The sequence below is a fragment of the Homo sapiens genome, chromosome 4 (assembly GCF_000001405.40).
Source record: "Homo sapiens chromosome 4, GRCh38.p14 Primary Assembly".
Classification (NCBI taxonomy): Eukaryota; Metazoa; Chordata; class Mammalia; order Primates; family Hominidae; genus Homo; species Homo sapiens.
In genome coordinates this window covers 140,620,040-140,633,471 of record NC_000004.12, presented here as the reverse complement: position 1 = coordinate 140,633,471, position 13,432 = coordinate 140,620,040, and the positions used below count along the sequence as shown (strand labels likewise).

The 13,432-nt window shown below is 39.0% G+C and overlaps 1 protein-coding gene across 1 annotated transcript in view; it reads left to right on the top strand.

The window, feature by feature from the left end:
* TBC1D9 (TBC1 domain family member 9) overlaps positions 1-12,690 on the top strand; it is a 135,604-nt gene extending 122,914 nt beyond the window's left edge. The window contains exons 17-21 of the mRNA NM_015130.3: positions 5,107-5,172; positions 5,945-6,031; positions 9,084-9,158; positions 9,253-9,356; positions 10,555-12,690. Coding sequence (NP_055945.2) covers positions 5,107-5,172; positions 5,945-6,031; positions 9,084-9,158; positions 9,253-9,356; positions 10,555-11,277 — 1,055 coding nt within the window. The 3' untranslated portion in view covers positions 11,278-12,690. The remainder of the gene's footprint in view (positions 1-5,106; positions 5,173-5,944; positions 6,032-9,083; positions 9,159-9,252; positions 9,357-10,554) is intronic.
* The last annotated feature ends 742 nt before the right edge of the window (positions 12,691-13,432 follow it).

The following is a 13,432-nucleotide window of genomic DNA, read 5'->3' as shown; positions in this document are numbered from 1 at the left end:
TTTTGCTGGGAGGAGGAACCTTCCAGCAGGAGCAGGCCCAGCCTCACCCCACACCTCACCACAGCATGAGGGCAGCTACCTACCAGCTCCCTGTCTGGTTTGCTCACTGCCCTGCATATGACTGCCTTTTTGGACTCTTGTTCTTTTTATAACTGGGCACAAAAGCTTCATGGTAGTGGAGCCTGGCCCACTTGACGTAAGGTTGAGAGTATAGCAGGCATTATGCCAGAATGAGGTAAGAACAATTTTTTTAAAATTCTAATTGTGCTACTCTATGACCTTGGGCCATATGCTTTAAAAAGAAGTACCCAAGGAAAGAGAAAATGTCAGGCATAGAGCCAGCATTTCTAAAGAACGTCTTTAATCTGTGAGAGTTATATCTAGAAGACATAAAGGCCAGAGGAAGCTGATGGTTTTTTAAAAAGGGAAGGGATATATGTAGGTAAGGTCCGTTGAGGTTAAAACAAAAATTGTATAAAGTACTCATCTATACGCTTAAAAGAGGGGACATGGGAGAACTCGCATTTATTTAGAGTGCAGATACTGTTGTGATACTTTAGAACTTTTACTATATTAATCTAAACAACAGCTCTTAGGTGTAATAATGATAGTGATAACTGACATTTATACAGCATTTACTGCATGCCTGGCATTGCCCTAATGCTTTTTATGTGCACAATTCACATGCATTTAATTTGTCTAAGGGCATGCAAGTATAAAGTTTGTGTTTGATTCCACGTACTCAAGAGGCACAGTTTGTGCTGTTACTCTTATGCTTCGTTACCTACCTGCTTGCTACTATTATCTCCATATTTAGCTAAAGAAATAGAAGCTCAGAAAAGTTAAAGTAACTTGTTGGAACATTAGTTTTTAGCAAACCAATAAATATCTGTTATTGAACTGAAATGAGAGGCACAGCTAATACATGCTAGACCCAGGATTCGAACAATGGCTATCTGTCCTGAAAGCTTATCCTTTTCTCACTACTCTGTACTGAGGATAACAAAAGGGCATTTTTTAGGAAGAAGGAGGCAGTATTAATTTTTAGTTACACAAGTGATATATAAGTACAGTCTGCTTTTTTAAAAAGTGGCACAAATCAGATAACACTAAAGACCCCTTTGACGCTATGCTAATCTTCTTTACTTCCAGGGTAATTACTGCTTGTCATATAGGTATCCATCAAAAGAGATATTTAAAAAAAAAAAACCTTTGGGCAAAAATAAAGAGGAGAAAAAAGAGACGGGTTCTACATGTAGAAAGTGACAGAAATAAACAAAAATATTTAATTTACTTAAATTCAGTCAACTCCAGTAAGGAGAATGCTTTTGAAAATCTTCAAGAAGGAAAAAGAGTCTTGAAGTCCAGCATAGAGAAAACACTGGAAAAGAATATTTAGACTTCAAAATGCAGTTGAGTTCCTGGGCAAAGTAAACTATACCCCAGATTAGTGGGAGAACTCTCAGATGTGGTTGCAGAGCTGTTGTCAGTTACATTGGTCAGTTATAGTTATGGAGATGGGAAAGTCAAGCAGAAATGAGAAATTCTGTCTGTGTTTAAAGAAACTAAAGAATGGGCCAGGCCCCGTGGCTCATGGCTGTCATCCCAGCACTTTGGGAGGCCGAGGTGGGTGGATCACTTGAGGTCGGGAGTTCAAGACCATCCTGGCCAACGTGGTAAGACCCTGTCTCTACTAAAAATACAAAAATTAGCCAGGCGTGGTGGCAGGTCCCTATAATCCCAGCTACTCAGGAGGCTGAGATATGAGAATCACTTGAACCCAGGAGGCAGAGATTGCAGTGAGCAGACATCGTGCCACAGCACTCCAGCCTGGACGACAGAGTAAGACTCCATCTCAAAAAAAAAAAAAGAAAAACTAAAAAATGAATTCTGAAAAACATGTATCAGTAATTTTATATCAATCCCCAGAGAGATCCCTCTAGAAATTACTAAACAGATAGATGGTCTTTGTGGAATTAGAAATTAGGGGTTTCAGGCTGAGGCAGGCAGATCATGGGGTCAGGAGATCAAGACCATCCTGGCTAACACGGTGAAACCCGTCTCTACTAAAAATACAAAAAATTAGCCGGGCGTACTGGTGGGCGCCTGTAGTCCCAGCTACTTGGGAGGCTGAGGCAGGAGAATCGCTTGAACCCGGGAGGCAGAGGTTGCAGTGAGCCGAGATCGTGCCACTGCACTCCAGCCTGGGCAACAGAGCAAGACTCCATCTCAAACAAACAAAGAAATGAGGGGTTTCTGTCAGAAGCCATAAATTAGCTGTATCTCTTTCTCCAACAGTGCGGCTGAAACTTAGAGTTTATAAACATAGCATAATGAGTTGTGATGCAGCCGGTCATTGGATAAATAATTCATTACCAATGGAAAAGGTGAAAGTATATGGAAATTGGTGATTGTGTAACTGGCTGAACACTGCACCCAAAAGTGTGATGGGCAATAAGTTCATTTCAACTGAGAGAGCATTCACTAGTACCCTTGGACCCAGTATTTGGACTCTTTGCAGTTGCATCCTTATTTGCACGATAGAGTTAACCATCAAAACTAAATGAAACAATTCAAGTAAAGTTCTAGAAGTGTGTCTGGCTCAAAAAAATGTTGGTTATGATTGTCACTATGATTATTACTCATTCTCCCCTACTGGACTCAGCGGACACCTTGAACCATGAAGGCAGAGTACACTTACTGAATGGGTGGGGCCACATGAAGGTAGAAGAGATAGCCAAGGGTATGTTAGGTGACAAAAGTAGGTTTTTAAAAATTATGATAGGCAGAAATTATAACTGAACCCAGGTTTGGCTGCTCACCACTCGAAAAACAAACTCAAGAGACAAGAGTTTCTTGGGTGGGAAGAAAACCAGGTTTATTCTGAGAGCCAGCAAATCACGAAAATGGCAGACTAACATCCTAAACTACCATCTTATGTCAGTACAGATTTTAGGCTCTTTTTGTGTTAAGGGCAGGGGAATGAGAAGCAGTTGGGATCAAGAGGTGACAGACAATGCAGATATCTGGGCACCAGCAGGGGTCCGAGAAGGTTGGGAACTTCTTTGTCTTCAGTCAGGTTATAATGCTACCATGGATCTTTAACAAAACGGTTTTTTGCATACTTCTCCTTCAATATCAGAGTTAATTTTTAAAACTACATGATTGCTGTTTTTGCATATTATCTTAGTGCTCTAAAATTATCCTAGCCTACATGCAGGTAAAGGTCCCTTAAACAAAACTTGAATTAGTTATGTTGGTTCTTTTGCTGTTTCACTGTTACAAAATGATTGGTGAAAAAAAATTGATAAGGATAAATATAAGTTCTACTTTTAAAGAAATAATTGTTAAAGAACTACCTAGGATGTCTGCATGTAGTATAATAGTGGTTTCCAGCATGGAATCTAGAGTCAGACAAATCCAGGTGCAAATCCTGGACCTGTCACTTATGACCTTGAACAAATTACTTAACCTCAATAAGCCCAATTTTTCTTATCTGTAAAATAGGAGTAATAATTGTGCCCATTTTATAGAATTGTTATGAGATATAAGTGGGATTATACATATGAAGTAATTGGCACAGGGCTTAACACAGAGTGGGTGGTTAATGTCCGTCATTATTTTCATGATTAGTTTTATTAATCATGCAAACATCCGGGAGTTTAGTTAACCATGTGATCATTAAGAAACTCCACTGTGAGAGTGTGAACAGTTGAATTCACACTTAGGCTATACTAATGGAAGAGTCAGGAACAGTTCCCCTATTTCCTGGAGTGGTCAAGAGGCTTCTGAACTCATTCCAGAGGGATATTGATTGAGAAATTAACATATAAGGTAGATGTGGATAATAATAGGGAAGGATAAACAAATCACATCATATGAGAAAATTGAAAAAATTGGAAAGATCTAATCTGAGAAGATAAAGTTGGCCCAAAAAGATAAGCTTGAGGAAGACAGGACAGCTGTTCTTAAAATCTGAAGGATTGTTGTGTGGAAGAGTTGAGACACCCATTCTGTTTTGCTTTAAAGAGTGGGATAAGAGAAAGAGGAGTAGTTCTAAACCATTTTTGAGTCATGGACTCTTTGAGATCTGATAAAGACTATGGACATTTTCTTTCCCCAAAGTAACATATGAACATAAATAAAATTTTGCATTTTGAGGGGTTCACGGACTTCATAAAGTTGAGACTACAGGTTTTAAGGGTCATTAGACTAAAAATTACAGAAGAACTTTCAGTATTTAAAGAATACAGCTTGGAATGAAATGCCTCTGGTTGTATTGAGTTCCCCATCTTTGAGAATGTTTCAGCAGATGCTGGAGTCCTGTCTCACTGGGGTGTGTGAGAGGAGATCCTACATTAAGTGGAAGGTCAGACAAGATAACCCGTAAGGTCCCTTCCAACCCAGATTCTATGATTCCTATTTTTCTTCTTTTTCCAAATCTCATTTATCTTTAGGTGCTCTCAGAATATATATTTACAAAGGATTTTCTGGTTCTAGCAATAAATATGGACTTTGAGGGGAAAAGCAACAGGATTCTTCCGATTGAAGCTATGGTGATATAATGACCAATAGGTTCAGATAAATTAAGGAAATACTTAGGAGCTCAAAAACAATTAAAAAGGATTTCTAGAATGAGTAATTTGAAGTGATATCAAAACACATCTTGAAATTATTTCTGAACTCTAATAGTTATTTAAGATGTTGTGCCCCAATCACATGACCTTTCTCATTAATAAAGCTATTTTATTAGGTGCCAGGCACTATTCTAGGTGCTTTATATGTTTTAACACTTTTAGTTCTGACATTTCGTGGAGTCCTGACATCAAGATCACTGGTAGAATCTTCTATTATCATCTCACCTTACAGAGGGGAAACCGAGGTACAGAGGGTTTAACTCTCCCAACAGTATGTAGTACATGCAGAGGATTTGAAACCAACCATCCTGGTTCCTGAGCTGTTAACCCAAACAGGTCCTGGCCAGGCCTTTCACCACACAATGTCTTGGTTGGAATGTGTATGAAGTAGACTTTTTAGAGGAACACTAGGCCTGGAGTTTATTAGCACATGTGATGCATTTCACATTGGTACTTATGTGACTTCTAGGTGCTGCATGCCATGGGGACCTCACAGAGAAGCTCAAACTCCTGTACAAAATGCACGTCTTGCCTGGTGAGTGAGCTACATGGAGCAGTACTTGTGTCTGTAACCATGACCTGGCTTGAAGTCTCTGTTTTAGGTGTAACCTGATCGTCCTCTTTTTGATATACACCATCATTCATGAGTCACTAAGAACTAACTGAACAATGACAATTTCCATAAGTTCTTGAATCAGCATGCACTTGATTGTATAGTCATTTACCTGTGTGAAGAGTGAGTTGTGGTAACAGAAAAGAGCAGGCAGGCATCTGCAAAAGAAAGAATAAATAGCACTTGGTAACACCTGGGATACAAGGATTGTGAGAGAGAAAAGGAGCGTAGGAACATTGACAGGAACAAGTGGGGAAAATGGTGAGGTTTTTTCAATTTTAAACAAGGTTGGTACCAGCTGGGATCTATCTAGCAAATACTTTTAAAAATGAGATGAGATTGGCACGAACAATAGAGGTAGGATAAAACTAGATTTGGGAATTCTCTTTATAGCGTACAGTTTCCTAAAATTTTGTTAATATAGCATTATTCCATACAACTTGGAAAATTCTTCATAACACAGAAAATATGAAGGAACACTTTGGTGTGGGGTTGTTAAAAGGGAAGGTGGAGTTAGATGGAGTTAGTGACCTCCTCCACTAAGGTTTAGAGACAGTAGGCACTCAAGGCCCCATCCCACCTTTGTAACTTTAGCTTTTCATCCCCACTTATGTCATTTTATTTAATAATTAAGCATACTTTCACTGGATCATGGCCCTACCAATATGAGAACTATGTTTCCTCCCCTCCCTAGAGCCATCCTCTGATCAAGATGAACCAGATTCTGCTTTTGAAGCAACTCAGTACTTCTTTGAAGATATTACCCCAGAATGTACACATGGTAAGTGACTTTTCTCACCAAAGATACTATATTTGTTTTCTACCGAGCCCTCCATTATTGGAAAAAGACTTGCCTCCAAAGCTAGTCAATCAAAGAAGTATGTAAATATGGTTGCCTTAATTGGTTACTTTCCTTTCCAGTTTTTGAGATTAGGCAACTATTGGGCAGTAGGTACCTCAGCCCACTGAAGGAAACATGTACATTGTTTCCCAGTAGGTTAGGAAACTTGTGTCCTATAGAGCTGTATACTTTGCTGCCCTCTTTCTGCCAGGATCAGCCTCATTAATAATATCCTGTTAGGCAGCCATCCAGAATTGGAACTAGCATTTCTGTCAGAAAGCATTCTCTTATATCTGTGTTTGCTCTATAGCAGAAGTTGGCAAACTATAGCCCGTGGGCCAAATCCAGCCCACCACCTATTTTTTACAGCCTGTGAACTAAGAATGGTTTTTTACATTTTTAAATGGTTTTTAAAAATCAAAAGTAAAATATTTTTGCCACATGAAAAGTATATGAAATAGAAACTTCAGTGCCTATAAATAGTTTTGTTGGAAGACAGCCAAGCTCATTTATATATGTATTGCTTATGGCTGTTTTCGTGCTGCAGAATTGAGTGGCTAAAACAGAGACAGTATGACCTACAAAGGTTAAAATATTCATTGTCTGGTCCTTTACAAAAGACATATGCTGGCTCCTGCTCTCTGTGGATGATAGGTCTACAAAGATGTGATTCAACTCATATATGTCTCCAAATTTATATATTAATTCATATACTGTTTTGTCTTACATTAATCTAGCATTGTCTTTTGGCTTGCTACTGCAGTAAGTTACCTTCTAATTCATCATTAGGTCAACTTTATCAACTCACCTAAGTCCAAAAGTAAATGTAGGTTTCTCCTGGGTTCTTTTGCCTCTTAAGTTTTGCCATCCCCAAATAAGCACAACAGAGACCTGCACCAAGAGACCTTACTTTTAGACTGTAAGCACCAAAGTGATTTCTGTAGAGAGAGTGAGCCAGGCTCAGTCTTATGACTGGCAATACAAGTTGAGGGTAGGAGCTTTGGACAGAACACTAGCTATGTATAGTGTTGTCTAGGTGAGTGCAGGCAGGTTCCTATGTGAGCCTCAGTTTCCTTGTGTGGAGAATGGAGATGATAGCTATCATATTGGGTGTAATTAGGACCTAATAAGAGAATGTAATAAGACATTTTGCATAGTGTCTTAGTGCATCCTACATATTCTTAATATTATATATTGGAAGTAATGGCAAAAACCACAATTACTTTTCACCAACCTAATACCATTAGCAGTCACATTCTGGCTACAAAATGTTCTCCACACATTTCTTAGTAGACATACATCTCAGAAAGGGATTCTCTTGTTTTAGAAATGCTTCAGAAATGGTCACATGCCAATAGCATGTAATATCATTGAAATATGCTTTTTGAAGAAGGTTTTCCAGTGCCAAAGATGCTATTGCTTTGCATGGAAATGTTTCAGGTACGGGTAAAATAAGTAAGCCAAAACTGTCTTAGAATCTTACCATATAAAGATAACTAATAATTCACCTTGAAATATTTCAGTTTTTTATTCAAATTGTACACATACACACCACAGATATATGTATATAGAACTGGGATCAAACTACCTATACAGTTTTGTATCCTGCTTTTTTTACTTGAAATCCAGTGAGAATATTACTTTGTCATTAAAATTTCTTTGAAAATGTGGTTTTTAAATGGCTATATAGTATCCATTGCATGGACTTACCATACATTAAATATTTTTTAAAAATCCACTTGTTGCCTACATCATTTTCAACATTAAGAGGGGAGGAATTTCCCAACAACACATAGTACACTTTCCTCACTGTGTCTTAAAAGCTACTGAGATTAATTTGACACGTAATACAGTAAAGGCCACATCTCTGTCTGACCAGCCAGCTTTGGGTGGTTGAAGAAGTGCTGGAATGCACCCTAACAGCCAACAAACTGCATGGGAAACTGAGGGCATTGTACACCTCTCTATTTTGAAGTCCCTATGTGCCCTGTAATGTCTCGTTTTAAGAAGACAAAACAGTTATAAGTGGGTTCCTTAAAAGTCATATTTTTGAAGTACCAAATTATAAATCTGAAGTAGTTTTATAGCATGTAACATTTTAGCAAAAAAAAAATTTTCTCTCTTCTGCCAACATAGATTTTAATTTCCTTGAAAGAGTGAGTTCTGGATCTTTTGCAGGGTCTGGCAAAAAAAATCTGTCTCATATATGCAAAGTTAAATGATAATGTAGAAAAGACAGGAGAGAAATCAACATTCATTGGGGCAAGCACTACCATTTTTTAAGTACTAAAGGCTATGTGGCATTATCCCATTAATTTTTTTTTTTTTGAGATGGAGTTTTGCTCTAGTTGCCCAGGCTGGAGTGCAATGGCACCATCTCAGCCCACTGCAACCTCTGCCTCCTGGGTTTAAGCAATTCTCCTGCCTCAGTCTCCCGAGTAGCTGGGATTACAGGCATGTGCCACCACATCCGGCTAATTTTTCTATTTTTAGTAGAAACAGGGTTTCACCATGTTGACCAGGATGGTCTTGAACCCCTGACCTCAGGTGATCTGCCCACCTTGGCCTTCCAAAGTGCTGGGATTACAGGCATGAGCCACGCTGCTTGACCCTCCATTAATTTTTTATTGTACACTGAACCCCAGCTGTGAGAAAGAATTCTGCGGAGGTCCTTTACCTGGAGATAGTGTTGTCAGATAAAATTATGGGACATGTAGTAAAATTTGAATCTCAGATACAAAATAATTTTCTTAGTATAAGTATGTCCCCTCTAATGTCAGGGTTATACTTATCCCCCCCAAAAATTGTTGTTTATCTGAAATTGAAATTTAACTGAATGTTTTGTTTTGTTTTGAGGAGTTTTTTTTTGTTTGTTTGTTTGCTAAATCAGGCAACCCTACTTAGAGAGTCTTCTATTTTCCACTACAAATGCTAATTCCATGGTCATATTATATAACATTCTACTTTTTTCTTCTGAACCATTTCTTGGTAGTTGTTGGATTGGATAGCAGAAGCAAACAGGGTGCAGATGATGGCTTTGTTACGGTGAGCCTAAAGCCAGACAAAGGTAAGGATATTCTCTTCTATATGTTTACCTTCTTGCTGGTTGTACACTTGTTTTTTGGCCTGTAAGCACTTATTTCTTGACATTTGGGTTGTAGGGAAGAGAGCAAATTCCCAAGAAAATCGTAATTATTTGAGACTGTGGACTCCAGAAAATAAATCTAAGTCAAAGAATGCAAAGGATTTACCCAAATTAAATCAGGTAAGTGCTTAAAGTTCAAATCATTCGCTTCAAACCTGGACACTCTTTTTTCTATGACTGAAAAGTCATCGATAAATGTAGACTCAATACCCATCAAAAATAATAACTGGGGCCTTTACTTAGTATCCATTTGGACCTATTTTGTGCATGTATTTATGCATCAAAAATATGCTCCATTGTGAAAAAACGACTTCCTCAGAGGAAATGTGAACCACAACATATTCCATTTTGAGAGTAAATGCATCTTATTGCAATCATTAAAAATACCCTCAGATACTCGAAAGACAAACACATTGCTGTTTTCAGATCACCGTGCTTAGCTATAAAGGTGTCTGCACATTTTCCTTAAAAACCTGGTGAAATGAGGAAGAAAAAAACAATATAAATAATTATAGGCTGAAAATGCTAAGTTTTGTAATTGAAGAACAGAAGTCATCTGGGTGGAGACTGAAAGCACTAAAGCATTACTTCTGTCCAGGGAGATGGGGCATGTGTCGTGGGAGGAGGGATTGGAGCTAACCTTGGAAAAATTGAGGTGCATGCTAAAGTGTGTAGACGTGAAAATAGATGAGTCTCGGATTTCCTTAAGATGTTTCAAAAAGGGAAAAGAGAACAAGAAAAAAGTTACTGAGCCAAATGTATGACATAGTCCTTCTTGACTCGAGGTGAGCTGTACATGGATGTTTACTTTTTCATTCCAACTTTCATAGATGTTGGAAAATTTTCAAATTAAAAAATTGGGAAAATAAGCTGGGTGTGGTGGCTCACACCTGTAATTCCAGCACTTTGGGAGGCCAAGGCAGGAGGATCACTTAGCCCAGGAGTACAAGACCAGCCTGGGTAAAATGGCGAAACCCCATCTCTACAAAAAACGCAAAGATTAGCAGAGTATAGTGGTGTGTGCCTGGGGGGCTGAGGTGGGAGGTTCATGTGAGCCCAGGATGTTGAGGCTGCAGTGAACCGTGATTGCACCACTGCACTCCAGCCTGGGCGACAAAGAGAGACCCTGTCTCAAAAAGAAATAAAAATTAAAAATAGAAACATCAATAGGAGACTTTAAACATGTCCATCCAGCCTAGGCGGAGGACTTTCCAGGGATCTTTAGGCGTTCTCATTTAAATGGCTTTACAGTCCACTTCAGTGCTGCCTTTCTGCTCCCCCAAGATTTCACATTGTGTTTTTCCAAATCGCTTTTCAGGGGCAGTTCATTGAACTGTGTAAGACAATGTATAACATGTTCAGCGAAGACCCCAATGAGCAGGAGCTGTACCACGCCACGGCAGCAGTGACCAGCCTCCTGCTGGAGATTGGGGAGGTCGGCAAGTTGTTCGTGGCCCAGCCTGCAAAGGAGGGCGGGAGCGGAGGCAGTGGGCCGTCCTGCCACCAGGGCATCCCAGGCGTGCTCTTCCCCAAGAAAGGGCCAGGCCAGCCTTACGTGGTGGAGTCTGTTGAGCCCCTGCCGGCCAGCCTGGCCCCCGACAGCGAGGAACACTCCCTTGGAGGACAAATGGAGGACATCAAGCTGGAGGACTCCTCGCCCCGGGACAACGGGGCCTGCTCCTCCATGCTGATCTCTGACGACGACACCAAGGACGACAGCTCCATGTCCTCATACTCGGTGCTGAGTGCCGGCTCCCACGAGGAGGACAAGCTGCACTGCGAGGACATCGGAGAGGACACGGTCCTGGTGCGGAGCGGCCAGGGCACGGCGGCACTGCCCCGGAGCACCAGCCTGGACCGGGACTGGGCCATCACCTTCGAGCAGTTCCTGGCCTCCCTCTTAACTGAGCCTGCCCTGGTCAAGTACTTTGACAAGCCCGTGTGCATGATGGCCAGGATTACCAGTGCAAAAAACATCCGGATGATGGGCAAGCCCCTCACCTCGGCCAGTGACTATGAAATCTCGGCCATGTCCGGCTGACACGGGCGCCTTCCCGGGGGAGTGGGAGGAGAGGGAGGGGAGGGATTTTTTATGTTCTTCTGTGTTGAGTTTTTTCTTTCTTTCTTTTAAATTAAATATTTATTAGTACCTGGCTTGAAGCCTAGTGTTTTCATAATGTAATTCAATGAAAACTGTTGGAGAAATATTTAAACACCTCAATGTAGGTACATTACACTCTTGTTGCGGGGAGGGGATTTACCAGAATACAGTTTATTTCGTGAATTCTAAAAAACAAAAAGATGAATCTGTCAGTGATATGTGTGTATTATAACTTATTAATCTTGCTGTTGAGCTGTATACATGGTTTAAAAAATAGTACTGTTTAATGCTAAGTAAGGCAGCAGTCATTTGTGTATTCAGGCTTTTTAAATAAAATTAGAGCTGTAAGGAAAATGAAAAGCCACAAATGCAAGACTGTTCTTAAATGGAAGGCATAGTCAGCGAGGGTAAATCCTATACCACTTTAGGAAGTATTAAAAATATTTTTAAGATTTGAAATATATTTCATAGAAGTCCTCTATTCAAAATCATATTCCACAGATGTTCCCCTTCAAAGGGAAAACATTTGGGGTTCTAAACAGTTATGAAAGTAAGTGATTTTTACATGATTCCAGAATAACACTTGTATTGACCAATTTAGACAGATACCAGACCAATTTTGCATTTAAGAAATTGTTCTGATTATTTACGTCAACTCATTAGAATTCAGTGAAAAGTAACAGTCTTTTGTCACAGAGAATCTGAAAGTAGCAGCAAAGACAGAGGGCTCATGACAGGTTTTTGCTTTTGCTTTGCTTTTGTTTTTGAAAGAGTAAAAGTACTGATGCTTCTGATACTGGATGTTTAGCTTCTTACTGCAAAAACATAAGTAAAACAGTCAACTTTACCATTTCCGTATTCTCCATAGATTGAAGAAATTTATACCACATATCGCATATGACCATCTTTCCATCAAATCAATGTAGAGATAATGTAAACTGAAAAAAAATCTGCAAGATAATGTAACTGAATGTTTTAAAAACAGAACTTGTCACTTTATATAAAAGAATAGTATGCTCTATTTCCTGAATGGATGTGGAAATGAAAGCTAGCGCACCTGCACTTTGAATTCTTGCTTCTTTTTTATTACTGTTATGATTTTGCTTTTTACAGATGTTGGACGATTTTTTCTTCTGATTGTTGAATTCATAATCATGGTCTCATTTCCTTTGCTTCTTTGGAATATTTCTTTCAACACATTCCTTTATTTTATTATACATTGTGTCCTTTTTTTAGCTATTGCTGCTGTTGTTTTTTATTCTATTTACAGGATGATTTTTAAACTGTCAAATGAAGTAGTGTTAACCTCAAATAGGCTAAATGTGAACAAATAAAATACAGCAAATACTCAGATACAGCTTTTTATCTTTGTGCTTGAGTTCCTGCCTAAGGCAATAACATTATTCTTTTGACAACTTTTGCAGGGGAAATTATATCAGGCAACCATTTTGATTAAGTAAATAAATTTTATAGGCAAACATAGAGAGAGAAATACAATTTGTAGTATATCAATGACTATATTTAAAATAAGGAATATAATTGTTATCAGTTATCTAACTTAAAATGCTTATCCATAATGATCAGTGATATTCAGCTTTTTAAAATATGCTTGTTGGTTGCATGTCTGTCTTCAAAACCACAATGAGATACCATCTCACACCAGTCATTAAAAAGTCAAAAAAGAACAGATGTTGACGAGGTTGTAAAGTAAACAACACAAATATACCGTTGGTGGGAGTGTACCTTAGTTCAACCATTGTAAAAAGCAATGTGGCAATTTCTGAAAGAGCTAAAAACAACTACTATTCAACCCAGCAATGCCATTACTGGGAATATACCCAGAGGAATATAAATCATTCTGCTATAAAGACACATGCATGTGAATGTTCATTACAGCAGTGTTCACAATAGCAAAGACATGGAATCAATCTAAATGCCCATAATGGCAAATTGAATAAAGAAAATGTGGTACATATACACCACGGAATACTATGCAGCTATAAAAAACAAGATCATGTATTTTATGGGAACATGGATGGAGCTGGAGGCCATTATCCTTAGCAAACTAATGCAGGAGCAGAAAACCAAATGCTGC